This window comes from Homo sapiens, chromosome 10 (genome assembly GCF_000001405.40).
Source record: "Homo sapiens chromosome 10, GRCh38.p14 Primary Assembly".
In the NCBI taxonomy this organism is placed as follows: domain Eukaryota; kingdom Metazoa; phylum Chordata; class Mammalia; order Primates; family Hominidae; genus Homo; species Homo sapiens.
The window spans coordinates 50,497,688-50,525,283 of NC_000010.11; the positions used below are offsets into that span (position 1 = coordinate 50,497,688).

The 27,596-nt window shown below is 39.6% G+C and overlaps 1 protein-coding gene across 9 annotated transcripts in view, besides 3 other annotated features; it reads right to left on the bottom strand.

Annotated features, from left to right (window-relative positions):
- Window positions 1-27,596, bottom strand: part of SGMS1 (sphingomyelin synthase 1) — a 319,585-nt gene that overhangs the window by 192,088 nt on the left and 99,901 nt on the right. For all 9 annotated transcript variants that reach the window (XR_007061953.1, XM_047424974.1, NM_147156.4 and 6 more), the window contains one exon: window positions 22,144-22,234. The gene's annotated coding sequence lies outside the window, so the exon portion shown is untranslated. The remainder of the gene's footprint in view (window positions 1-22,143; window positions 22,235-27,596) is intronic.
- Window positions 10,993-11,072: an enhancer, noted in NCBI's record as "active region_3362". NCBI's record gives its function as "activates an Ori minimal core promoter by ATAC-STARR-seq in GM12878 lymphoblastoid cells {active_cell/tissue: GM12878}" and the evidence as "EXISTENCE:reporter gene assay evidence [ECO:0000049][PMID:35858748]".
- Window positions 13,262-13,556: a silencer, noted in NCBI's record as "tiled region #10759; K562 Repressive non-DNase unmatched - State 7:EnhWF". NCBI's record gives its function as "represses a minimal TATA promoter and a strong SV40 promoter by Sharpr-MPRA in K562 cells {active_cell/tissue: K562}" and the evidence as "EXISTENCE:reporter gene assay evidence [ECO:0000049][PMID:27701403]".
- Window positions 13,738-13,837: an enhancer, noted in NCBI's record as "active region_3363". NCBI's record gives its function as "activates an Ori minimal core promoter by ATAC-STARR-seq in GM12878 lymphoblastoid cells {active_cell/tissue: GM12878}" and the evidence as "EXISTENCE:reporter gene assay evidence [ECO:0000049][PMID:35858748]".

A 27,596-nucleotide genomic window follows, 5' to 3' on the forward strand; every position in this document is an offset into this window, starting at 1 on the left:
GAAGGCTGAGGCAGGAGAATCATTTGAACCTGGGAGGCGGAGGTTGCAGTGAGCCAAGATCGCACCATTGCACTCCAGCCTGGGCAACAACAGCAAAACTCATCTAAAAAAAAAAAAATTCCAGATCCTTCAGTTGACAGGTCAGACCAGATGATTCATCCACCTACCATCTAACACTGTGCCTAACTGAAATGCATGACTTTCAGTTAGAGGTTTCACTTTGGACATATCTGTTTACCTATTTGAATGTGAGCCCTAAGTTATTTTTATATTTTGCTTTTCCTCTCAGGCTGAGAAAGCTGCTGCTAAAAACTCTCAGAGTAAAAGTATGCTGATATCACACTCCAGGGAATTTGGTTTCTAAGAAAAGCCCACTCATTTTTAAAAGACAAGATGAAGAGAACACAGACTTCAAGCAAGTTGGGAGTTAGGGAAATATAACTCAAGGTCTCAATGACTTGCCCACCACCCCTGCTTTTTCAGCAATGCTGTTTGGGGGAGGGGATCATGGTAACTTAACATGGGAAAGATGTGATCGGATAAAATCTCTTTTATCATTCAGAGGGAAGAGGAATTCACAACCAATCACTTCAATCCTTATTTTCTTTTTAAAGCATTATTTTTATTGTGGTAAAATATACATAACATAATTTATCACCTTAATCATTTTTAAGTATATAGTTTTATGGCTTTAAGTACATTCACATTGTTGTGTAACCATCACCACCATCCATTTCCAGAGTGTTTTCAACATCCCAAAGAGAAATTCTGTACCTATTAAACAGTAACTCCCCTCTCAGCCCCTGGAAACCACCATTCTACTTTCTGTCTTTATGAATACACTAGGTACCTCATATATGTAGAAGCATATAGTATTTTTCCTTTTGTGACTAGCTGATTTCACTTACTATAATGTCCTCAAGGTTCATCCATGTTGTAGCAAGTGTCAGAATTTCCTTCCTTTTTAGGGCTGAATAATATTCCATTGTATGCAAACATCCTATTTTGTTTACCCATTCATCCATCAATGGGTATTTAGGTTGTTTCCTCTCCTTGGTTATTATGAATAATGCTGCTATAAACCGGGGTGTACAAACATATCTTCAAGAACCTGCTTTCAACACTTTCAGGTCTAAACCCAGAAGTGGAATTGCTGGATTATATGGTAGTTCTATTTTTAATTTTTTTCAGGAACTGTCATATTGTTTTCCATAGCATCTGTACCATTTTACATTCCCACCAATAGTGCACGAGTGTTCCAATTTCTTCATATCCTGGCCAACATTTGTTATTTTCTGGGTTTTTTAATAGTAGCCATCCTACTGGTAATTCTTTAAGTATTTTTATTTTTAAACTGGCTAATAGAATTAAACTTTTGTCCCATCTATGCAATTGGCTAAGAATATTAGAAAACCTGATTTTCATGAGTATGCTACTATTCACTTTCTGAGAGGTAATTTTAATAATAGCAGCTGAGATTAAATTTTAAAAATAAAGCTTTGGACACAAAACCATCCTGTATTCAAATATGAAACAGCTACTTCTGAAGCAAAGTACCTTCCCTAAGCCTTGGTTTTCTCATTGGTGAAATGGAGCTATGAATATCCATTTCTTAAAGTTCTTGGGAGAATTCACTTACGAAATTGTACAAAGCACTTAGCATGCTCTCTGGCTCCTAAGAAGCACTTAAAGAAAGACAGATGATGATAAGGAGGAGGAAAGTCTCATTATTGCTGGTATACCACTAAAAGTTAAGTCACAAAAAGGTCTCTTTAGCATTGAAATATACATATCCTTTCCTCAACTACTCCCAGATGACCCTGTTTTACAATTCATATATATACTCACCAAACCTCAAGATTGTCACTGTAGACAAGATAGTATTTTCTTATATACAAATTATAAACATAAATATTCTTTTCCCAAAGGCAGGATATTCAGGTAGGACAATAAACAGTGGTAGCATATCACAAAATTATACCTTTTTTCAGTTTGAAAAAGTGGTAACAAGAACTTGTCATATATTTTAAGTTATACTTAATTTAGTTACAGCAAAAAGGTAGAGTGCACATTGTGAGACAAGATTGGTTTTCCCTCTTCTCTTGATTAGTTAATTAAAAAGTTAATGCCAAATGGCTATATTTTAAACGTATGGCTTAGGCTAAATTCACATATTGTATCTAAAAAACAAGCTTGATCAGCCTGGCGCAGTGGCTCACGCCTGTAATCCCAACACTTTGGGAGGCAAAGGCGGGCGGATCATGAGGTCTGGAGTTCGAGACCAGCCTGACCAACATGGTGAAATCCCGTCTCTACTGAAAAATACAAAAATTAGCCAGGTGTGGTAGCATGTGCCTGTAATTCCAGCTAGTCAGGAGGCTGAGGCAAGAGGATCGCTTGAACCCGGGAGGTGGAGGTTGCAGTGAGCCAAGATTGCACCACTGCACTTCAGCCTGGGTGACAGAGCGGGACTCCATCTCAAAAACAAACTAACAAACAAACAAACAAAAAAACAAGCTTGATCTGTTGTAGATTTCCTGGGTATCTTTAACTTGGAATTTTTATCAGGCTTCTCATTTAAATTCAAAGAATCTATGGGAAAGTCTCAGAAATCACTTAACCCAAACTGCCATCAAATAGCTGCTGTTCTGTTTATAGAAATTTACTAATAAATTACAGTAAAATATAAAACAATTGGGAACCTGAAGCAATTGTGAAAGAAGATATATGCTTACTTCTCATTTAAAGAAATCAAATAAATGAAAATCGGTTTTAAAATAAAGGTTAAACCAAAAGGGTACTAATTCACCATCAAAACACTTCCAGACCCTCTATGAGTGTGTGTGCCACGCATTTTTCTAAGCACTTACATTGACACCTTTAATTTCTACATAAGGATTCTGATTTGGGTTCCATTAATATTACAAGGCACTTTAAATTGACCCTTAAAGTTGTGACACATTAACTTTATTCATATACTCCACTGAGAAATATTCATGTGAAATAGCACTCCAAAACCTTAATTATGTTACTGGCTTCAGGACTACCACCTTGGCTAACGTAAGTCCATACTAACTTTTTTCTTCCATCCACCCAGAGACATGGTTCAAAACATCAGGATGCCTTGATAATGGCATTAGTTTAGGTTTATTAGCTCAGGAAATTCTTTCTGTTGCAATCATTGTTCCATTAAAATTCTTTAAAATTACTCTTTAATTTCAGTAACTAAGGTATATGGGCATGTAATCTTAAATATTTCTATGGTAGTTCAAGAGTAATAAGGGATCTCATCTGATTTTCCAAAGAACCAATTAACCAATGCTGGGAAGACACAGGGTCACATTATGAGTATCTATCAACCCTGGGTCTCAGTGATTATGGGGGCCAGCCAGAAGGAATGGCCTCCTTCCCTCTCATCCCATGTCATCCTCTCCTGCAATTTATGCTCTGGCAATAATATCTATACTTCCCCCAAATGTGCCCTTCTGTGGTACCCTCACTCATGCCCCCTAATCCTACTTGGAGTAAATTCTCATTCTTTTCCAGCACACCAGCATCTCCCTTGTGAAGTCCTTCAATTCTGAGGAACAGAGAAAGGAGAGAAGGACAAGTCCACAAACTCTATCATCCTAACAGCGAATGAAAGGGGTTCACAATTATCTAAAACTTAAAAAGGCAACTATTTCCATTATGTATTTTCTACATTTTATATAAAACTTTATATTATATACAAAAGTACTCTGTTACATTTTTAAGTAGGTAGAATGCTTGGTGAAATACGTTTGATTTTTTCCTCTTTTCTGAGTTCATTAAGGAAATTAATTTGCAGAGATAATTCTATATGATTCACACGCAGACCAAAAAAAATTAGCAGGCAATTCTTGAGCTAAAACAGCTTGTAAATAAACATCATGAATATGGACAAAATGTGAACACCCACAAGGCAAGTAGTGAAGAATTCCACCTACATAAATCTAGTGAGTCATACTTTAATTCAACAAGTTGTCTCTGAGTCCTGATAGGGCGTTCTGTCCTATGTTTGGTGCCACAGGAGTTTCCAGAAACCTCAAGATTAGGGCCCTACTTTCAAAGAGGTTAGACAATGTGGTAAGATGTTAAAATTCATGGTATCATTGAAACCCTAAGAAAAATTCTTAAATTACTTTTTAGATAATAAGACATGATTATAAAAACAATTAAAATTTTAAGTATGGGTATTCAGCCAAACTGCACATCTTGCTTCACTGTCCATCATTGTTGTATGTTTGCTGGGGAAAGGGAGGAGTTGGGTTTTTTTTCATTTGTTTCTTTGAGCAGAGGGCCTCCCTTGTGGACAGAGACTATGTTTCCACAATGTACTGTGTTTGCAATTTAGAAATATGTGGGGTTGGCCTTGCCTGCTGGCTGTCAACAGGAACTGAGTGCCCAGGCCCCTGGCTGTTCTGCCACAAAGTCCCTCCTCCCCCAGAGGCCTCTCACCTGACAAGATAGCTATCTGTAGCTATAACTGATCAAAACTGCTTACCTAGGTAATCATCTCTACTGCCTGCAAAAAGATGACTCTTGAATTTCCACCTCCAGCCTCTCCCCACACAAAGATGATTTACAAATGAGGAAAGAAAAAAAAAAAAAAAAACCAGCACAGCAGGAGAAGTCAGTAAAGAACACTACTGGTCCAGGCTCCTCCCTAACTGAGCTTCCGAGGGAAGTAAGGGAGAGGAGAGGTGCCATCCCACTGAGAGCCCAGTTCCTTCTACCTGCCCATGGAAGGGAAGAAAACAAACTTACCAGCATGCTGACCCTACCCTTCTCTCTATCTGGAAAGTTTAGTCTTTTAGGCATACCCACAGAGCAGCAAATATCTGCCCACATTTCACATTTTCCTAATGAGTTTGTTCTTAAATTCACCAAAATTTTAGTATTCTACTCTTTAAAATTGTGCAGATACAAAATTTTGTCACAGGAAAATATTAGGGAAAAAAGAAGAAGAAGAAATACTTTCCTTTTCAGTCCCCAGGTCTCTAACATCAAATGTATTTATGTGGATGCCCTCAAGACCTCACAGCCTTTTTCTAAAGGAAGTAAAAATTTGCAACTTTATAAATGTACATCAACTTTTCCATTTTAAAAATAGTCCCCAAAAGTGGACTGATTTGTTACTGGTCAGAAAATGAACGTATCACCCAAAAAAAATTCTCAGCACAGATCCAATCTCTCCCATGATGCAAACAGAAAGAAAGATACAGTTAAGCACAACCCAAAATGTAGTGAAATAAAATATCATATGAAACCATGACCGATACAAAAAATGGCTGCCAGAGAAAATTCCTTAAATCTCCAAAGAATCATTTTCTCCAACCCTACCTAGCATGGGAAGAACCACCTTAACTGAATGTGAGAATCCTTTATTCCTTAAAGACATGTGAACTCTATTTGTAATGTCTACAGAAAGCTCAGCCCTGGGAGTAAAATTTTAGATGTTCATCTTCCCTTGTCACTGATGGGGAAATGATTACTTACTACCTGGGCCAGAGAGGGAAAATGAACTTGCAGGCTTATGTGAAAACAGCAAAATGCTGTTTTTCTAGAAGAGCTGATTAGGAACACGCTAATTGTCCTAAGTGTAGCGGAGTGAGACCTTGCTCCCTAGTTCCTGTCAGGCCTCTGAGCCCAAGCTAAGCCATCATATCCCCTGTGACCCGCATGTACACATCCAGATAGCCGGTTCCTGCCTTAACTGATGACATTATCTTGTGAAATTCCTTCTCCTGGCTCATCCAGGCTCTAAAGCTCCCCTACTGAGCACCTTGTGACCCCCACTCCTGCCTGCCAGAGAACAACCCCCTTTGACTGTAATTTTCCTTTACCTACCCACATCTTATAAAACGGCCCCACCCCTATCTCCCTTCGCTGACTCTCTTTTCGGACTCAGCCCGCCTGCACCCAGGTGAAATAAACAGCCTTGTTGCTCACACACAGCCTGTTTGGTGGTCTCTTCACACGGATATGAGTGAAAGTTCCCAGCTCGTGGAGGAGAGAAGAGCAGTTCTGTGGGTTTGGCCTTAGACGACAAAGGCTAGGGTTCACTGCCCCGTGCAGACACAGTCCACAGGCACTGTCACTCTGACAGCCTGATATCACTAGGGCCTGAGAGACTGGGCAAGACAGAGGGCTGTCAACATATGTTGACCACGTCACTGTCTGCACTTAACAGAGCAGATTATCAAGATCGTAGAAGTTTTGTACAGAGAAAAAATGAAGGCCAGGCTAGCTGAGTGATTTACGCTGACTGACACTATGCAACTTTGTGGCTACACATCCTCTCGTGTTTTATAAGCATGTTCTACCTGCATCGATATGAGAGAGGATTCTGAATGAGATGGCCTACATAAACAGTGCCCATAGCTCCTGTCTGAAAATTGAGACACAGTCTGACAAGTATAAACAGACATCTGGAATTCATCATGCAGGGTACCTGAAACCAGGACAGGCTCAGAAAATGCAGGGTGTGTCATCACCCTACCTACCTCACTAGGCTCCCAGGCCCCTCCCCTGGAGAGCTGATTCAGTAAGTCCGGGTGGTGCCTGAGAATCTATATTTTTAATAAGTGCCCTGAGGAAATTCTTAAGCTTAGGTAAGTTTGGGAAACACTGGATTGGACTAATTATACTTTGTAACACTTAGCTTTCTCAAGATAGTTCCTACCTTTAAATCCCATTTAGCACTGTCATCAGTTATGTTAGCTTATAAATGGTAACAATAAATGAATTTTATTTTATCTTAATCCCCCAAATAACATAATTTTGATAATATCCATTTTAAAGAAAGAAGTTAAGTAATTGTGCAAGCTCATACAGGTAGTAAGTGACAAAAGGCAATTCTCCAGGAAGAAGGATGGGAAGATGGGGTAATAGGGAGGGAGAGGCAGGGATTTAAACAGAGATCTAACTCTAACAGCTATACTTGTAACCACTATATACACAGCCTCCTATACAAACATCAATCCTGTTCATTTTTTTTTTAAAGTAATGGCGGTTGACTTATTTCTAAAAGTCAAAAAGGTTTAGAAAAACATTTCTGAGTTATTATTCCTTTCTGGCTATACAGAGACCCAAAGATCCAAAAATATCTCTTAACAAATTGTTTTTATCGACTGCTGCTCTCAAATTTCCCTTTTGATGAAGTTTTGATCCTAGCCTCCATACCTCTCCCCAGTAGTAAAAAGATACAATAAAAAAGTCAACAGCTTGGCCAAGTGCAGTAGCTCACGCCTGTAACCCCAGTACTTTGGGAGGCCAAGGCAGGAGGCCAGGAATTCGAGACCAGTGCAGGTAACACGGCAAAACCCCATCTCTATAAAAAGAAAAAAATACAAAAATTAGCTGGGTGTGTTGGTGTGTGCCTGTAGTCCCAGCTACTTGGGAGGGTGAGGTGGGAGGATGGCTTGAGCCTGGGAGGTAGAGGCTGAAGTGTGCTATGATTGTGCCACTGCACTCCACCCTGGGCAACAGAGTGAGACCCTGTCTCAAAAATAAATTTAGAAAATTAAATTAAAAAGTCAACAGCTCCTCCCATAGAAACAATCAGAGGAATTACAATAGGTTATAATTTAGCCCCAAAATCTAGTCAATACCAGATAGAGGGGTAGATTTTTATACCAATTTATAACGAACAAAAGTCATATTCAAACATTTTTCTAGCTGCTCTGTTCTATCATGCCTAACACTGAAATTTTTTAAAAGAAGAAAATCCATCTTTTCCATTCTTCCTGCCTTAAAAAAGACCTGATATGTCAAGTGAACAGTACTTCTACACCCTTCTCCTCTCCAGCCTCAGGTTAATTTAAAAAGTCACTCAAGTTTGAAAAGGACACAAAAACTATAACCAAAGGCAAACTCATGATTCTTTCAACAAGTACTTATTGAGGGCTTCTAATATGCCAGGCACTGTTCTAGGTGCTATAGATACAGCAGGGAATAAAACAAAGACCTCTGCCCTCAAGGAGTTCATATGCAGCCAACAGCTCATCAGGCAGTGAAAGGTGCTGCTGAGCCCAAGGGTGCAGGGATGGGAGGGGGTGATGTACCTGAAGTGGTCAGGGAAAGTCTCCCTAACAGGGCCATCTGAGCAGAGGCCCGAGGAATGGGGAGCAAAGCACACCATATCTGCGGGGGGAGAGCATCCTCTAAAGAGAAAGGAGGGTGCCCGGCTGACCCCACTCCCACCCAAACCACAATCCACCAACATTTTCTACCTGCAGACATGGCACCAGCCTTCTCCCAGTTGCTCAGGCCTGAAACTGAGCTGTGATCCTTCCTCTCCCTCCTGATTACTCTATCTTCCCATCCTTCTTCCTGGAGAATTGCCTTCCCCATCTCCCTTGTCCTGGAATACTCTCCTCTTACCCTTCAGACTTCTCACTAGAAGTCATTCCCCCAGAGTGAATTTTCTGATCTCCCCATTACATGTAGATCCTACATTACACACTTATTAAACTTACTACACTCTGTACTTCTCCCAGCACTAGTCACAACTATAATTAAATCATTATTTCTGTAATTTAATGTCTGCTCTGCCTCAATAAACTAATCTCCATGAAGGCAAAGACCATATTGATTGTACTCATTTTTGCATCTCTAGTGCCTGAAAAATAGCCGAGTTCAATAAATATTGGAGAAGGAATTAAGCCTTCCTTCTCATGCTTCCGTGTTCTTGCTCAAAGAAAATTTACAGTTGCATTTTTCCATGGCATCATCTATGCCACACAGATTTCCTTCCTAATAAAAAAAAAAGTTAGGAGCTATGAAAAATCCATACATAGATAATGAAGTCCCTAAGTGAGCCATTCAGACCACGTGTCTGCTCAGTTTCATTTCATATTACAGAATCCTACACTAAAAGGGAAGGCAGCAAAGCAGAGCTGCCCACTCACTCCTAAGATCACACAGGTCACTCCTCCAGGAGCAAATTAAAGGGATGTGCTGCTTGTCCACAATTATCAGAATTTTTTTAAATTAAAGATAATGGGAGCCACTTACTCTGTGACAGGAAGTAAAAAGGCAGTGCAGCAAGCACATACCTCCTAATTTAAATGTTAATAGTGGCCACCATTAGCTGCACCCTTCCCAGGTGCCAGGTACCCTGCTAGGTGCTTCACGCACATGACCTCACTTAACTGAACCCAGTCTTTGCAGCCACACCATGATCCAAATGAATAAGTGCTTCAACCCAGGAATAGGAAGCAATACTGTCGGGCCCCAAAACCCCTGCAAAGCATGTCCATTACAACCCATTGTTCTAGTACCAAATGCACCCAGAATGCTGGTACCGAATGGGAAACACACAGCTGCTCTAGTCCAAACTCCCCCAGGCTTATAGGCCCAGAGAGGGGAAGCAACTGGCACAAGATCACACAGCCCATTGGTAGCTAGGTCTGGCCAAAAGCTCTATCCCTGTCAGGCCATCCTTCTGACAGATCAAACCATTCCTCACAGAGGGTCCCTAAAACCCTGAGAATAAGTGTGTCAAGTCAAGCTTTCCTAAGGAACACTGCAATGTTATAAAAAGCCTAAAGTACCATTTAGAGTTGAGCAAAAGCAAAACAGAAGGACTTTATCTCTTCTTTCTTGCAGCTGCCACTGATCTGAGTTCACACAACAAGCCCCTTTGTCTCTGAGCTCCCATGCAGCTCTTCTGAGCGACAGAAGCCCAGGAACACCAAGGTCCTGGGCTCAGGCCAGCCCAAGCTGAGCGAAACAGGCTAAAATACAGGCGGCTTGGACATTCCTTTATCAAACACTCTGGAGGGGCAGAAAGCACAATTTTGCACACATGATCACACTCTGTACCTACAGTGGAGTGAAATCAGGCCTGAGCCATGGAATTCACCTGTGCACCCTGAACAGCACCCTGATTTTTATGATCCCTGTGGCAAATCCTATCACTTGCATCCAACTGAATTTACCATAGAATCCAACCACCTCTTTTTTTCCTCAAATTAGCCAACTACCAGCCAATAGCCTGGTATAATAACACCACTTACCAGAACCACTGGGCCTGCCAGGCTAGACTAAATCAGCAATTACACGCACTTAGTGACAAGAAGTTCTCATGGAGAAGTCCCCAGATGGCTTCATGCTATCCTCAGGGGCCTCAGGCCCCAATACCCTAATACCCTGGAATGGCAATGCCCAAGAGAACTTATGTTCCAACCAGGGGTTCCAAGCCAGTGGCTCCTCTGGTTACAGTAAGCCTCAGCTTAGTTGGAGACAGGAAGAGAACCATTTAATCCCCCACAACAGATCCCATGAGGGACAATTCATGGGATCTGCTAAAGATGTACCCACTCCCTACTACTGGCCCCAGCAACTCAGCCAGTCTTTGACCACCTCAAGCAATGTATGGGCTCCCCAAAGGTGCTGTGTGACAACAATGCTCTATTTAAAACTACAGTCGTTTATTCTGTGAGTTGTTTTTAAAGTAAAAATCAAATGATAATGTATATAAGAGCACCTCAAACATTTAAAGAGCTAAACAATCCAAGAGTATTCAAAGATTTACCATTTTGGCATGCTAACCACACTTGAGGGCTGAGACTCAGGGGCCATAAGTTTATGGGGTCTCCATGTCCTCATAGTAGGCCACATGGGCTGTAGTGGAAAACCAGCACAGTCAGACATTGACTGAATCCTAGAGCTGCATCCTAGGGCAAGTGACACAAGCTGCTTCAGCTCACGTTTCTCATCAGTTAACTGCGGTTAACATCTCTCTTGGTATGACAGTGAAATATCAAGTGACAAAAAGGAAGTCATGTCAGTCATTAGCCAAAAGCCAGCAATAGATTACTATGGCCCCCTTTCTGATGGGATTTCACTGTGACTAGTCTAGACCGCAGGGAGACCTCTTTAAGTAAAGGATCTCCAACAGCGGAGTTTGTTTGACTCACTGTGGCAGGTGGTTGGAAAGAACCTCTTTGGGGCAGACTTGTGGGTAACTGCCAATTCTCTATACCTTTTGGACCAGGCTCTGACCTAAGGAGAATATAAGAAGTTGTCGGTGAAGTTCTTAAGCCTCTGCCATAAAACCTTGGGCTTTCTGTCTTCCACACTAGACCAAATTCTGCTAACACATTAAGGCTGAATTCAAATGTCATCTCCTATGTAATAGCTTCCTCCTTAGAGATCTCCCCTGTTGCTGAAGTTTAGCTGGCTGTACATGGTTTGGTCCACCCTGATGGATGGTAATTTCCTTAAAAACAGGGCTTGGGGCTCATTTGCCTGTGTAAACTCAGCACCTCATCACAGATGTGGCATCTAGTTAATGATTATTGGTAAGTGCTTGCTCAACTGAGTTGACTACTGAACAGCATTAAATTCAAACCAATTTAGTAAATCCCAGTTTTAAATAAACAAGAAATTTCCTGTTGGGGAAAGACTGTGTAATCTTATACATATTGTTGAGATATCTGTCCCAAAAGGATAGAAGTTATATCCTTCAACCCCACGAATCACAGCCAAGAGTTTGGAATTTAAGCCTTCTTTCAAAATCATATCTTTACTTTGATTTATAAAGGATGTTGATTATCAAGAAACACAGTTTAAGAGCTCTACAGCTTCAAATTTCCAGTTAGAACCCTCCAATTCTTGCTGTAAACATTTGTGAATTGTATTTTAGAGAGTGATTAAATTAGCCATTCCTCCTCCCACCAAATCAAACATGTTGGTTTTTCCAGTAAGACATTTGATAAGCCATTCTAGGAAAATATACATACACATATATATATCACAGTGCATTTGTTATGGCTGAGATTAAAACGGATCTGAAAAGTCAACTCTTCTCTAGTGATGAATATTTTAATGGCAAAGGAATCAGGAGAGGTGATAGAGTGAAATTTGACTGCACATTGTATACTAAACACTATCTCCACTAACGCTAGAATCAGCAGCTTTTGTTTTAACCTTCCAGCAGCATTCTGTTTAACAAAGATCATTAGAGCATCCACCTCTATAGTAATAGCTATTTCCATCACCCAATTAGAAGCCAGAGTACTGAAAGGGCTGCACCTTTGTATTTGAATGAGGCATTCTGTATAACTAATGACTTAACAAATCCTTATCCAAGTAGCTAACAAAATGATCCTTTGATGGTATTTAAGCCAAAGTGCATCATCAATTATTTATTTTTGTTGGTGGTGTTTTTATTTTAAAGTCAGACTTAATAAGGTATAATTTGCATGCAGTAATCCAATCTTTTAAGTGTACAGTTCAATGAGTTTTGACAAACACACACAGTCATGTAATCACCACCACAATCAAGATATAGAACATTTCATTTATCTCAAAAATTTCCCTATGCCCTTTGTAGTCAATCTTCTCCCCCATCACATGCTCCTGGCAGTCATGATCTATTTTCTAACCCTATACTCTTGCCTTTTCCAGAATGTCATTTAAATTGAATCATAAAGTATGGATTCTTTTGAGTTTGGCTCCTTTCACATAACATAATGCGTTTGAGATTCAGCCAAATAGTTGTGTTGTTCTTTCTTATTGATGAACAGTATTCCATTAATAGGCATACCAGTTTGTTTATCCATTCACTAGTTGAAGGACAATTACATTTTTTCCAGTTTTAGCAGTTATGAATAAAGCTGTTAGAAGTATTAGCCTACAGGTTTTTGTGTGAATAGAGGTTTTCAATTCTCTTGGATAAATACTTAAGAGTGAAACTACTCGCTTATATGGTATATGTTTAACTTTGTAAACACCACCTATTTTCCAAAGTGGCTATATCTTCTCAGACTCTCACCAGCAATGTAGGAGAGTTCTAGTTGCTCTGTATCTTTGTCAGTACTTGGTATTATCTGTTTTTGTTTTGTTTGTTTGCTTCTTACTTATTTTAATAGATGTGTAGTGGTATCTCTGTGTTTTTTTTTTACTTTTGATTTTGAAATAACTCTAGACTCACATAGAAGATACAAACATTGTAGAATGTTCCTGTGTATCCTTCACCCAGCTTCTCCCCATATCTTACGTAATAACTATACAATTATCAAAGCACAAACTTGACACTGGGTACAATACTATTACTATTAATAAACTACAGCCCACGTTCAGATTTCACTAGTTTTTACATGTTCTTTGTTGTTTGTTTGGGTTTTTTTACATACAATTCTATAAAACTTTATCTCATATATAGATTTATATAACAATTTCCACAATCGGGATATAAATCTGTTCCATCAAAGCACATTATGTATTGAAAAGACCCTTTTGGGATTATAAACATCATCTGCTGGAAGCACTTTGGTAAATGATGAGGACTTTCTTTTGACCTTTTCCCTTACCACATTAAAAAGCCAATTGTCTATGCTCCAGCTGGTATGTACAAACCACAATTGCCAGAGAAGTTCACTTTTCAGAATGGGTGTTTGTCCTGTTCACTCTTTGTTTATTATATGCCAGACCCAGTAGAGGCAGAGTGGATAAAATAGCAAACAAGAGAACAGTACTTCCTGCCTTTAAAAGAATTTAGAGTGTGAGAAATATTCATTCACTCATTCATACACACACACACACACACACACACACACACACACAGTGACAGACACTATCCATGAATGAAAAGTAAAAAGTGAGATGAAAGGTTAAAACACAATCTGGTTAAGACAGTGAGGAAGGTCCTTGTAAGCAAGCCCCATCCTCAGACTCAGTATTCAAGGCCTTCTGTGGGACCAGGTCATCCAAGTGCCAGAGCCATTGAGTATGAAACACAGAAACCAACAAGTTCTTAAAGCAGAATACAAAGATGCTCAGGGCTTAAGAAATTCACTGAAGACTTCTTAACTTCTCCTTAAGTCAGAGTCCAGCCCAAAAGATATACAGAGTTGGCAATTATCCATGTGATGTTACCTTAGGACACCCATAGGCCTATTTCTGCCTTAAAAGGTTCTTTGCAACCACCTGCCACAGTGAGCCAAACGCTACTACTAGAGATCTTGTAGTTACAGAGGTCTCCCTCTGCTCTAGATGAGTCACAATGAAATCTTATCAGAAAGTGGGGACACAGTAATCCATCACTGGCTTTTGGCTCTGGCATGACCCTCTCCTCTTGTCTGAGGGATCCACACTTATAAAATTCTTCAAGGTAAACTGCCCCTCTTCCCTTCTAACCTGTACATAATTTTGTCATTAATCTCTAATGCTATTTGTCCCATGTCTCTCTCTCCATTCTATACTAATAATCTCAGAAGTCTGACTCATCTCCGTATCTCCTGGCATCTGTACCCTCAGCTCCCACGCACACAGTAGATGTCAATAAACATTCAGTGAATGTTCACATACAAGGTATGATTTCAGATTACAATGTCCATAGTAGGGCTTTGAGGGAGTGGATTGTGAAACAGATGGGTCATAATAGGAAAGATACCAATCAAAGGCATGGGGAAGGCTATCCGGTTCAAGAAGCATACCACAGAGTAGCTGAATATGGCAACAGGGTACTTGGGCACCTGAGAGAGGGCAGACGCAGGACAGAAGGAGATGGTGTGAGGGAGTAGGAAACAAGACTTCTCCATACATGATAGCACTCAGAACCAAGCTAGCACCTGTCAGAGAAAAAAAACCAGACATACCCTGAAGCAGAAAGGAGAGAGAGAAAGGGCTCTCTCTCTGTCTTCATGACTTTGTTTATATGGACATTTGCCAAGAGCAGGGCTATGGGAGACCAGGAGCTCAAAAAGAAGCAAGTATTTGCAACAGCTGCTATGGAAGTCAGCTAGGAAATTAATAAGAAATGAGATCAAGGACGTCAACTCACATACCAGTTCCAAAACCCTCTGGAGTCCCTCTGTGCACAAGGCAATGACCTGGGTTTGCCAGTCCATGAGGGCTGGGTCCTATCCTGCAATGCCTTCTGATCCAGCTATGAGGAAGTTCGCAGGCTGCCCAAGAGTTTATGGGAAAAAAAGACACTGTTCTTGGCCCTGCATTAATTGAGCTTCCACATGTAGAAATGGTTTAGTGATTAGTAAACGCAAGAACTCCCAAATCAAACACTGTTTTACAACATAAATTTAAAACTATCAGAAAATTATTCCAGCTCATATTTCCAAAACCACTGGTTTTTCAGCAGGACTTCCTCTTAACCAGCACCTTGGCCTTTGCCACCTTGCAGTACCCGGGGTAACACATGGACTATGGAAAGGAGATGGGGGACCCTGCAGCCAGCCACACTTACCCACTACAAGTCTTGAAGACAGCTAGCCCTGAGAGCTCCCAGATAGAGGGCTGAAATACACCACAAAATGAAGTAGGGACATCCTTCCACAAGTTTCACTTGTAATTTTTGTAGTATGCCTCATGTGGGTAACAAATGCTACCATTACAATGCTATTTTCCAAAAACACTGAGCTTCTTGGATGCAAGGTGTTAAGTACCAGTAGGTCCCCAGTCACTCAAGTTTCAGTTACACCAATTGCTTATACTCTCTCTGTCCTCACTAAGGTTTCAACCAAGAAGAACCTTGCTTCCTGGTAACACAGTGAACCACAAAGTAAAACAGAAACTGGCAACCGCAAGATGGTTTTCAATGGTCCCTGGGAAAAACAGCGAAGTAGGTAGAAGTGCCCCTTTCAGCTCCAGTTTGGAAAGGTCACCAGACACTGGTGCAGCCCTCTGGCCACCCCAAGGACCAGTTGTAGCTCCCAAACAAGTGCCCCTTCCCCCTAGGAGTCTTTGAGGCTTCAAAACTACCTTCAACACTTCCTCTCCACCCCCATCCCAAGCCAAAACTGCCCTTCCCAACCAGTTTAGCTAGGAAATGGACACTCCCAGGTGTGAATGACACAAAGACTTCTTCTAATCCAGAGACTGAAATAATAGCTCCAGACCAGATAGGATGTTAATATCTCCAAGCCCTCATTCACTCAAAAGCTATTACAATAATGTATCTAAAGATGAGGATAGCACTAAAAATGCATTAAATGCATATTCATCAATTAATAAAATCAGCATTCAGGTTTATATTAAGCTCAAAATTAAGCCATTTAGACCCAGACTGTTTCATAGTATTTATAAACATTTTTTAAAAATATAAGGTACTTTAGCACAAATATTCCTAATGGCTGTTTCACATCAGAAACTAGAACTGGGTTATTCTTCAACAACAGGACACTGCCAGGGACCAGCAGAGACTGTTCACAAAATGACCCCGAAGAAAACGTCACACTTCATGTATTTTCAAACCCATGAAGAATAGTTATGAATCAAAGCTGAGTCTTAAATCTCATTTCAATTCCAACTTTCCTCCTACCAAAGGAAAGGAGGCATATTGTTAAGTTCAAAAGACCCAAACAAGATATCAAAAAGTTGCCTGTGAGCACCAAAAAAAAGATATTTCATATAATTTATCTGCAAATACCAAAAATGCAGTTCATGGCAATTACGCCTGTGCCAACATGTCGTTGTGTTTTGTCATAGGTATTTCTAAATGATGCAGTCTGAATGAAATGTCCATTTTTCCAAACTCATAAAAGGGCGAGGAGAAGAAAAACTAACATTCTGGTGATTGTCTACCTACCATGTATACCAAACCTTGACACGATAAGTCTTTGAGATTGTTAAATATCCCTTAATATCCATTCTCCCTTTCTTCCTTATAACAAAACCGCCAGTTCTTTTAACTGATACCCAGAAAAAGAACCATAGTTCCCGGACTCTTTTGCAGCTAGGAGTGGCTACGTGGCTATGCTCTAACCCAGCAGTGCTAAAAGTCTCATATGGCTCTTATGATTACATAGGGCCCACCTGGACAATTCAGGATGTGCTCCCTATCTCAAGATCCTGAGCTTAATCACATCTATAGTCTTTTGCCATGTAAGGTAATATATTCACAGCTACTGGGAACTAGGTCATGCCACATCTTTGGGGGCCATTAGACCATTATTCTGCTACCACAATATGCTAGATATCATAAACAAAGTTCTTTAAGGTCCTCAATAATTTTTAAAAGTATAGAGGGGTCCTAAAACCAAAATGCTTAAGAACCACTGCTGTAGCATATAAACAGATTAAGGTAGTTATTAGGTGGGGAAAAGCAAAACTCAGCAAAGCTAAGTGATTAACCAAAGTCCTACAGACTATCAGTAGATCTTCAACTTGAACCCAGGCAGTCTGGCTACTGATGAACCTGTTATAGCTCCCTCTGTCCCATGCACCAGTCTCTGAACTCCCAGACTGTGGCAAGGGCCAAAAAAGTTATTCTGTAGGAATTTTTTGCACGCATCAAACAGAAGATACAACAAGCACTCACATATGAATCTGGTGAGCAGGAGGAAGAACAGGTTGGAGAGGAAGGTGATTAAAATAATCCTAACTTTTCAAAACCTTATTTAGAAACAGACTAACTCATTATCTTTTGTGAGAATGGAGCAAAATGTTACAAATGGCCAAGTGTCCCAGTGCCAAGTCAAAGAGAGATGAGTAACCCTGCTCACTGCAGAGGAACACGATTGTGACTAAAGTACTGGAGACACAGGAACACTGCTCTGGGTCATACATCAGAGCCTGGTCACTTGTCTTGACAATGACTGTCAAGCCTCACCTTTTAGCACCCTAACTGACATAAACCTATGAAAGACAGCACTCTTGGGCTGTGTCTCTGCATTGTTTTGATACGACCAGAATCCAACTTCACTGTGGAAAAGAAACAGCACTCAGGTGAATTCTGTTAAAAATCATGCTAATCATGCAACTCATAACCTTCAAAGGGACCCATTTACAGAGAACTGACAAGTTCAAAGGGCCAGTTACTGCTTTGCCAAATCAAGTCCCCGGCCCAGGACAACAGAACTGGAGCAGTGGCAATGAGATGTCTTTCCCTTTGCCTGAGCAGTGTGCCATAGAGCCTGATGGCTCCACTGGCACAGAAGGCTAGGCAAAGCTCACTCAGGAAGCACTGGCCATCCCTGACAAGCATCTCCAGTACTACTCCATCACCTCCCCAGCTCCCCAGGTGAAGCTTCTGGAGTGCTCAGCTTTCCAACCATTTGGAAAGCAAAAACTAGCAGCAGTGACTGAACTGACCGCCAAGAAAAACCCAAGAATACAAGGACACAGTTGGAAGTTACTACCCATTAGAATTTGCTATCAAAGCAAGGAAAAGCTACACAATTTTCTGATATTTTTATTTTTCAAATGAAAGTATAGAGCCAATACCAGGCAATTCCTCAAAGAATCTCTCATCGCAGAGCTCGGCATTTCCTAGAAATGTTTTCAGTGCCTGTCTTTCCTATAATTAGACTAGTATTACAAATATCCTACCTGTAATCTACAAAGCAAAGAGACTGCAAATTAGAGACATGCCTAATGTATTACTTTCATCACAAAATCCACACACACACTTGTCAGATCTGTGTAGCCTCTAAAAACATATGGTTGTCTATTGGTAATTATTCTGCTGCAGAAGGAATAATAATTAAAAAAAAACTGTTAAATCAGCAACCTCACTTGACATCCACTTTGAAATACTTTTTTCATGTGCCAAAGCCCAAGGCAACTTAGCATTCTACAGACCAAAAATTTCATGCTGCTTTCTATGCCTATTAAGGGGATGCAGAATGTAAGAACATGGAGCTTACAGAGATGATGCCTCTAATTCACAACAGCAAACATCAATTTTCTGCATTCCATGTGAAGAAGAAACACATCCACAGGCAGAGACCCACAACTGACTCGTTTATATCTAAGACTCTGCATAGAAAGAAAAATGGCATTGTGACAGAAAATAGATTGGGAGGCATAACAAATTGGTGCTGAATAAGTACTCTGTTCTAATGAGTTATTCCAAGAGTGGTAATTTCAGTTTCCAAGGGAGTAAATATTCAATAGATTAACTACAAAAAGAACCCCGGCAAAAGTGTAAGGATATAGTATGTCATATGTTTAGCTAGCTTTCAAAAAGATCACTCTTGCACTATTTTCTTTATCCTTAGGTGAAATAAAGGAAAGTAATAAATTGATAAAGAGTACTTAGAGACAACTGATTTTTAAAAATCATTTGAGCATTCCTAATTCAGGAATTCTGGTGGATTAGATATTTGCAAGGCCCTTCTGCTATACTATAATTAGAGTCTGAATAAATTACATTTAAAAATACTTTTTAATGCATTGGTTAGCTCCAGGTAGAGAAACAAATCCCGTGAGAATATAGTGGGAACATCTACTGTTCCTGAGCAAAGAACACTCAGGATTGGGCAAAAAAGAAAGTTGGAGTTGCCCTGGAGGTAACTATGAATACCAGCAATGGGGTGGGGCAACTAGACATCCAAGTTTCAGCATGGTGGAGAAAGCCCAGCTTTAAACCAAAGGGAATAGGTATTCAAAGGGAAGAGAAGTGGTCCTGGGTCTGTAGCATCCTCCTGGCTCCTAGCACAAACAAAATCTCAAGAAGTAATACTTCAAGATTCCAAGACATAATTATCAAGCAAATATTAGCATGTAATCCATACTCACCCTGCACACTAGGAAAGAAGCCCAAAACCATTTAGACCACCAAGGATTTCAGATACTGGCAATATCAAATATAGGATATGAAATAACTGTTTAATGATGAGGCCAAAAAATGAGCAAGCAAAATGAAACCATCAAAAAATACTCAGGCAGATTTAAGACAGAAATAAAGATTTTAGAAATTTAAAAAACATACCCATTTGAATTAAAAAGTCAATGGATAGGCTAAACAGAAGAGCCAACACAGCTAAAGAGAGAAGTATTGAACTAAAAGCTAAATCTTAAATTACAGAATAAAGCAGGGAAAAACAAGAAAGAAAATACTGAACAGAAATTAAGAGACATAAAGGATAAAAAGAGAAGTTCTAACCTCCATTTAATCAAAACCAGAAGATGACAGAGAGAATGAAGAAAAGGCAGCATTCAAGCATTGAGAGCTGAAAAATGTTTAGGGTGGATAAATGAAATAAATGGATAGATACATGAAATACGAAAAATATAAACAGAATTCTTAAAAGAAAGCTCTAAATAGACACATTGTAATGAAACTGCTGAACACCAAAGACAAATAAACAAACTTAGAGTAAGTCAAATCATCTACTAAAAAAAATAGCAAATGAAAGATAAACAGATGTCCTGACGGCAAAAATGAAAGCTATGGACAATGGAACAGTATGTTCACAACACTGGGAAAAAAAATAACTATCAACTAAGAGCTGTAAGAGTGAAATAAAGACATTTCAGAAACCAAAATTGAGAGAAGTTACCACCAAAAGATTCTCAGGAAAAGAAAAAATTCTGAAGAAGCTAAATCTCATCAGGGGAAACGTAAGGATAGAAGAAAGGAAGAGGAATAAGAAATGATAAGCATGTACAGTTAAACAAATACCATCTCTATACAATAAAATTGACTAATTTGTATGGTGAAACAAATAATAAAACAGATATGCTGAAAAGAACATCTATGTACAGAAGGAGGGAGTCTTCATTAGGTATACTATGAGTTTTGTATTATTCCAGAAGGGGATTAGAATACCTTAAATACTGACTGACTTTAAAACTTCTATGTGTGCACAGTATATTTTCAGGATAATCATTAGAAGAACAGAAATACAAGTTATAATTTCCAAATCAGCAGAGAAAGAAAAATTGAATAAGAATATAAACCAACAAGAAGTTCAACTCAAAAGAAAAGGAAAAACAAAGATTAGCAATAAAAATGTTTTTAGTTTGTTTGTTTGTTTGTTTTTGAGATGGTGTTTCGCTCTTGTTGCCCAGGCTGGAGTGCAATGGCATGATCTTGGCTCATTGCAACCTCCGCCTCCTGGGTTCAAGTGATTCTCGTGCTTCAGCCTCCCTAGTAGCTGAGATTACAGGCACGTGCCACCATTCCCGGCTAATTTTTATATTTTTAGTAAAGACACCATGTTGGCCAGGCTGGTCTAGAACTCCTGACCTTAGGTGATCTGCCTGCCTCAGCCTCCCAAAGTTCTGGGATTACAGGCATGAGCCATCGCACCCCGCCACAATGAAAATATTTGTGCCATATAAACAGTTTCAAAATTTTTAGACTATCTTTCAAAAAACAAAGAAGAAACAAGTTTCATTCACTATACAAGAAGAGACTGAAATTTTTGTCTAAATTAAAAGTATGCACTCTGTTCTCCAAAGGATATCAAAGATGTTCAATTGCACTATTAATCAGGAAAATGCAAATAAAGATGACAATGATATACTATTTTAAACCCACTAGCGGGGCAACAAAATACCAAAGATTGGAGGGAAGGGAGACAACAGATAAACTGTGATCAATTCTCACCATAGAATTTAACTTAACCAGAAAAATTAATTTACTACCGTTACATGCAACAAGTAAATCTTACAACATAACAGGGCAAAAAAAAATGCAAGCTGCAGAACACTACATGCAATATACTATTCTGTTCAAGCTTAAAATTAAAGCTAAGCAATATATTGTTTGGAGATTATATATACAGACATAGTAATCAACATATACACAGACACAGAAATAGAACATAGAAACAGACATAGAATCAACGATAACACTAGAGACACTGTTTCGTTCATCTAACTTTTACGTTCTAGGTCAAGCTCTTTATTTCATCTCAGGTTAGCACTCTGAGCAGCACTGGACTTACCTGTTCAACTCCAGAGAAGAAGGCAGACCTGGTAACCGTGATCTTCCAGGACGAAAGCCTCCATCAAAAGCAATTCCAGATTAAGGGAAAAGGCATGCCCCCAACTAACATTATCCTAGAACCTTTCCTACCTGGTTTATGTGACTTCAAATTCAGCAGCATCCTTTTCTGTCATTTCCAGAGACTCAGGCTGACACTCTTTCCTGTGGCCTTTGCTTTATGCATTTCTACCACCCCGGCCCAGATTGCTTGCCTTCTCCAGTGGGGGAGCTGGCCTCTTTAAGTGTGTTTCCTACTTTTTCCAAACCACACAGGCCTTTTGTTGGCTAATTTTGCCCTTGGGCACCACAAAGGCCTGGAAGATCCCCTTATGCCATCAGAGCCTCACATACAATCTCAGAACAAAGCAAGAGTGATTACAAGGAACTTCAGAACCATGAGTTCTTTGAGAATGGGTGAAATGCTGATTCTGACTTACCTGTATTTTATTACACACCCTCTGCTGTGTTCCAACTTTACTGTTCTTGAAATTCAAAAAGTCCACACTCCTTCAGTCGCTGAAGCTTTACCTGGAATAATAAGGGCAGAAAATGAGGAAGGAAGCAACCAGAAGGAACAAAAGGGCCCACTTGGAAAAGCAACTCTCTCATATAATCAAATCAATTAAAAACTTGATTTGTGAGAGAAATAAGGGCCACCTGGATTAAGGAAACTCTACCTCAGTCTAAGCCATTTTAACTAAAACTATTAACAGGGGCAGGGCACAGTGGCTCACACCTGTAATCTCAGCACTTTGGGAGGCTGAGGTGGGAGGATCACTTGAGCCCAGGAGTTTGAGACCAGCCTGGGCAATATAGCAAGACCTTTTCTCTACAAATAATTTTTAAAATAGCCAGATATGGTGGTATTTACCTGTGGTACCAGCTACTCGGTAGGCTCAGGTAAAAGGATCACTTAAGAATGGGAGGTGGAGGCTGCAGTGCGCCGTGATTGCACTCTAGCCTGGGCAACACAGCAAGACCCCATCTCAAAAAAAAAACTATTAATGTCTTATTAACAGTAACTTAATATTTGCAGAAGAAATCATTATTATTTACAAAGAGCTTTCACATGCATTTTCTCATTGGAGCCATAAGATCTTGAGAACAGACTAGCACCATTTTAAAATGCAGCAGCTGAAATTCCCAAAGGTTGGGGAACTTTCCCCCAATCACTCAGCCAGCAAGTGTCAAAGAAGAAATCAGTGCCCAGCTCTACCAACCCTTGCTCCAAACTCTTCCATGACACCATATAACAAAATAGTTTCAACTTGAACAGCAATATTTATTCTTTCTTCCTGCATAGATACTCATAGATACGCCAACAGAGATAGAATGGCTTTGCATGCTAAGTGACTGACACTGCGATAGGATTAATGTATTTAGCACAGACAACCCAAAGGGTAGAAAATCCACACAAAGGTAGTTAAGAAACACCTTATCTTTTCTGCATACTCTACTTTTCTCTTTAAATCATAGTTATACTTGCTGGGATTTTTTGTTTTATTTTCTTTTTTTTTTTCTTTGAGACAGAGTCTCAGGCTGAGTGCAGTGGCATAATCATGGCTCACTGCAGCCCATGGGCTGAAGCAATCCTCCCACCTCAGCCTCCCAAACAGCTAGGCCTTCTGGTGCATGCCACCATGCCCAGTTGATTTTTTTTTTAGTAGAGATGGGGTCTTGCTATGTGCTGGGTCTCGAAATCTTGGACTCAAGTGATCTTCCCACCTCAGCCTTCCAAAGTGCTGGGATTACAGGTATGAACTACCATAACTGGCCTTTAAATTTTTGTATTTGGAAATAATTTCAAGCTTACAGAAGAGTTGTAGAATAATAATAGTACAAAAGTATCCAGGTACTTTTTACCCAGATTCACTTATTATCAACATTTATTTAACCATTCACTCACTGTCCATTCATTCATTTGACTTTTTTTCTGAGCCTTAAGGAGATAAGTGCAATACAACACAGCATTTTACCTCTAAATACTTCAGAATTTATTTCCTAAGAATAAGAATATTCTCTTACATAACCACAATATAGCTATCAGCCTTAGTAAATTTAAAAGTTATATAATAGTTTAATCTACTGCCATATTCAGTTAACCTAATAATGTCCTTTATAGTATTTCTCTTTCCTCCAATTCAGATCCAGTCCAGGGTCAGATACTGCATTTAGCTGCCATTACTTTTCAGCTTCCTTTCACCTGAACCACACCAGCTTTCCTTTGTCTTTTATGATACTGACACTTTAGAAGAATATAGCCTCTCCCCCTTTTTATATTAATAGAACATCTCTATTTTGACTTTCATGACATTTCCTCAGGTGATTCCTGAGGATTCAGTTCAGAATAATCGTGTAGTTTTCTGCATTCTCAGAAAACTACAAAAGTGATATTTTCTTCTCTGGATATCACATCTAAAGGCACAAAAAGTCTATCTGCCCCAGCTTGGTTATGCTAATTTTGATCACCCAGCCAAGGTGTTGTCCAACTTTTCCAATGAAAAATTACTACTTTTTCCCTTGCAGCTAACAAGTAATCTGTGGGAAGACACTTTAAGACCATGTAAATATCTTGTCCCTCATCAAAATTTCCCCCTAGATTTAGTATCCATTAGTGATGTCTGCCTGATAAAAACTTTATACTGTGATGGCTGCAACATGCTGACTTTTCCAACTCCAGCAATCCCTCCATATTACCATTCATTACTCAGCATTATACATTGTTTACCAATATATCTATTTATGATCACCTGAGATACATGAAGTCCTATTTTTTCAGTGACTTATAATTTATCCTTGTACTTAAGTATTTTGGTGCTCCAGCTGTCTCAGACTTAGCCAGTGGGAAGCCCTTCAAGCTGGCTCCTTTATCCCTGTGACATACTCCATCTTTTAAAAATATTTTCTTACTTTTATTCCCTTACTTTCTGATATTAAAAAAAAAATGTTATGGGCTCATCTTGTATCTACCCTGTCTCTAACCTGGATCCTGTCAATTCTCCAAAAAGCACTGGTTCCTTTCCAAGGAGAATGCTGTTAGAGACCAAAATCTGGTATTACCCACTTTTATAGTCATTGTTCATACCTATTGATTATTATTTTGAATATGAGTCACAATCCCCTGTTACTTTGCATGCTTCTTTCCATTATAAGGTAAACAATTGGAGGGTGTTCAGTTTGGCTCTGGTGGCAGCTAAATTACTGGTGGGTCCTCTTGATCCTGCCAAGCTTCATTTTACACTTGGTTAAGATGAGTCTATTTCACTTATGTCCTTAGTCCAAGCTTATGGCCCTTACTGTAAGGTATGGATGGTCTTTATTCCTAGGATGTGATGTCTCAACAGAATGGCTATGTGATGTCTCGGTAGAATGGCTAAGGTATTCAGCAAGGTCTCTTCACCTTGGCTAGGCCAGAAACCCAATCTTTCTCAGTAATACATGACCTCTGGTACCGCCATTCTGTTCTTAGCCTAGTAGCAGCTGCTCTCTGCAGGGCCTCACCCCTCAAGTAGCTCCCTCCTCTCCAGTACCCTGCCATACAAATCTCAGCCACTTCAGCAGCCTTAAACTCCAGTCTCTGCTTTCTCAATGCTATGAGACCACCATGCTCTGCTAGGGTTCACCTCCCTATATCACAGCGGGGAAAGTGTTCAAGCAGGAAACCAGGGCAAATGTGAGTCCCCCTCTTGTGATTCTCTTCTCTCAAGGATCACAGTTCCGGATGCCTGCTGTTCACTGCCTGAAAACCACAGCCTCATAGATAGTAGTCCTTTTTTCTAGTTGTTTACCTTAGGAGGCAAGACCAGCACCCATTACTTCTCTCTTTTTCTCTTTATGCCTTTAATAGTAAATGATGATTGAGGAAGACAGGTCTGCTCTACTGGGAAGGGTTAAGACTCAAATACTTTCAATGTATAATAAATGCTCTTTACTTAAAGATTTCAAAGAAACTCACTTTCTAACAATCTGTTTCTTACAAATGTATGTGCTTACCTTAAGCACAACACTGTAGCAAGAAAAATGTTCTCTATTAGTGGGGCAATTGCAAACAAATGACAAGGAAATGTCCCTGTTTCTTCCAAAAAGCTCACTTCAGATAGCCAGCTGGCTATCACCCTAACATGCATTTACATTTATTTCCATAACTCTTCCTCCTACTGGCATAACAAAACAGTAGAGCCTACCCTAAGTAATGAAAGTTAGTTGCTCTTCTTAATTTCTCTTGTTTATGTGCATATTCTTAGGGATGGAGAAAAGAATCCTTTTCATATAAATCATTTTCTGGTGTATTTCCATGTCTACTTATAACCACTGTTGAGAAAATAATTAGAAAATAAACAGTCAAAAATAAAACTTGCAACCCCAGATACAAAGCTAATCAATATTAGCAAAGAAGAATAATATTTTATCAAATACTGTGAGAAAAGATGATTTTGTAATCACAGGAAAATGGAGAACAAGTCTTTCCCTGCACAAGCCAGTAGATTTGTGCTCAAGGCACACGTGTGCACATGCGCACACACACACGCAGCATTCCAAACACAGTTTGCAGACTGAAATGTGGGACACCCTCTTGCTACTTCTTGGGCAGAATTTCTTCATATTAGAAATCCACATTTCAGCTCATCTAATTCATTTTCTCAAAAGGAATCAATGCATGACAAGTTATACCTTTCTTTGGTTCTACTTCAGGTCCCCTAGATCTTAAAAGTGAGCATCTGATGTAAACAAAATGCTTTATTGTCCTTTTGTACCCCTCACTGTCCAGGCATTCCTAATATTCTTGGGGCTCTTAGAACAGTCTTTTCACAGATCACAATGTCTCCTGTAGATCTTGTTGAATTCTGTTTCCTCAAGTCTGCATGTGTCCAGCACCCTAATGAGGTACAAATTCTTCTGTGCAACCCATTTCCCAGAAATGCAGTCTGAGCCTCTGGGCTTGATAAAACAAGACCTCCATGAACTGCTCCCAGTCCCCCTTACCATTTCGTCTCCTAACACTTTATGCTCCATCACTAGTGAAAAACTTGTAGCTATTCCCCTTCATGAAATACCCTTTTCCTCCTTTCTTCTCTTGACTGTGAAAATTTTTTCATGCTAACCATTCAAAGCTGGGTTAGTGCCCCAGCCCTATGCTCACCTTTATAATAAATAAACTTCACTGAGTGCTTTTGATATGCTAAGCATGGATGGGCACTTAACATGTATGATCTTATTTAGTGCTACTACTAAGTCTGTAAAGTAGGTGATATTTATTATTATCAGCCCATTTACAGATGAGCAAACATGAAGAAAGACTACACAGCGTCCCAATGTCACGCAGCTGGGGAGTGCTGGAGCCACAGAGCTCATAGGCTTTTCATTACAAACAGCATGAAACATAGTTAGTTGAAAAATTAACAGCATAATAGGTACTTCCAGGCAAAAGGCCCAGAATGTCAATGGTGACCCTATGACAACACTGAAAGGGTAAAAATAAGATGAGAGTAACTCATCAGAATCCTTCAGAAGAGGGTGCAAAAAGAGACCTATAAACTAACATCAACGATATGCCCATAATAAAGACCAAAATATTTTACCAAGACAGGGTGATCAGCAATTTCTAAGAATCAAGTAATATACACATGGCTCAAGCAAAATAATGTTTAAAAGAAGCGGTGGAAATAGGAAAGAATTTTCTTACTAGGGATTAGAGAAAAAGCATTAAATCAAAGATTAAGAAGAGCTCTCAGAGGAAAGAATCTGGAATATTTGAATAATTAAATCAATTCCATCCTCAAGAAGTTCTTATACTGGGTAACAAATAGCATCCTCTATTGGAGTTACATGTTGGCTCCTACACAAATTGAATGAGTGAAGATTAGTGAATAGGAAAAATTCTGTTGTACCC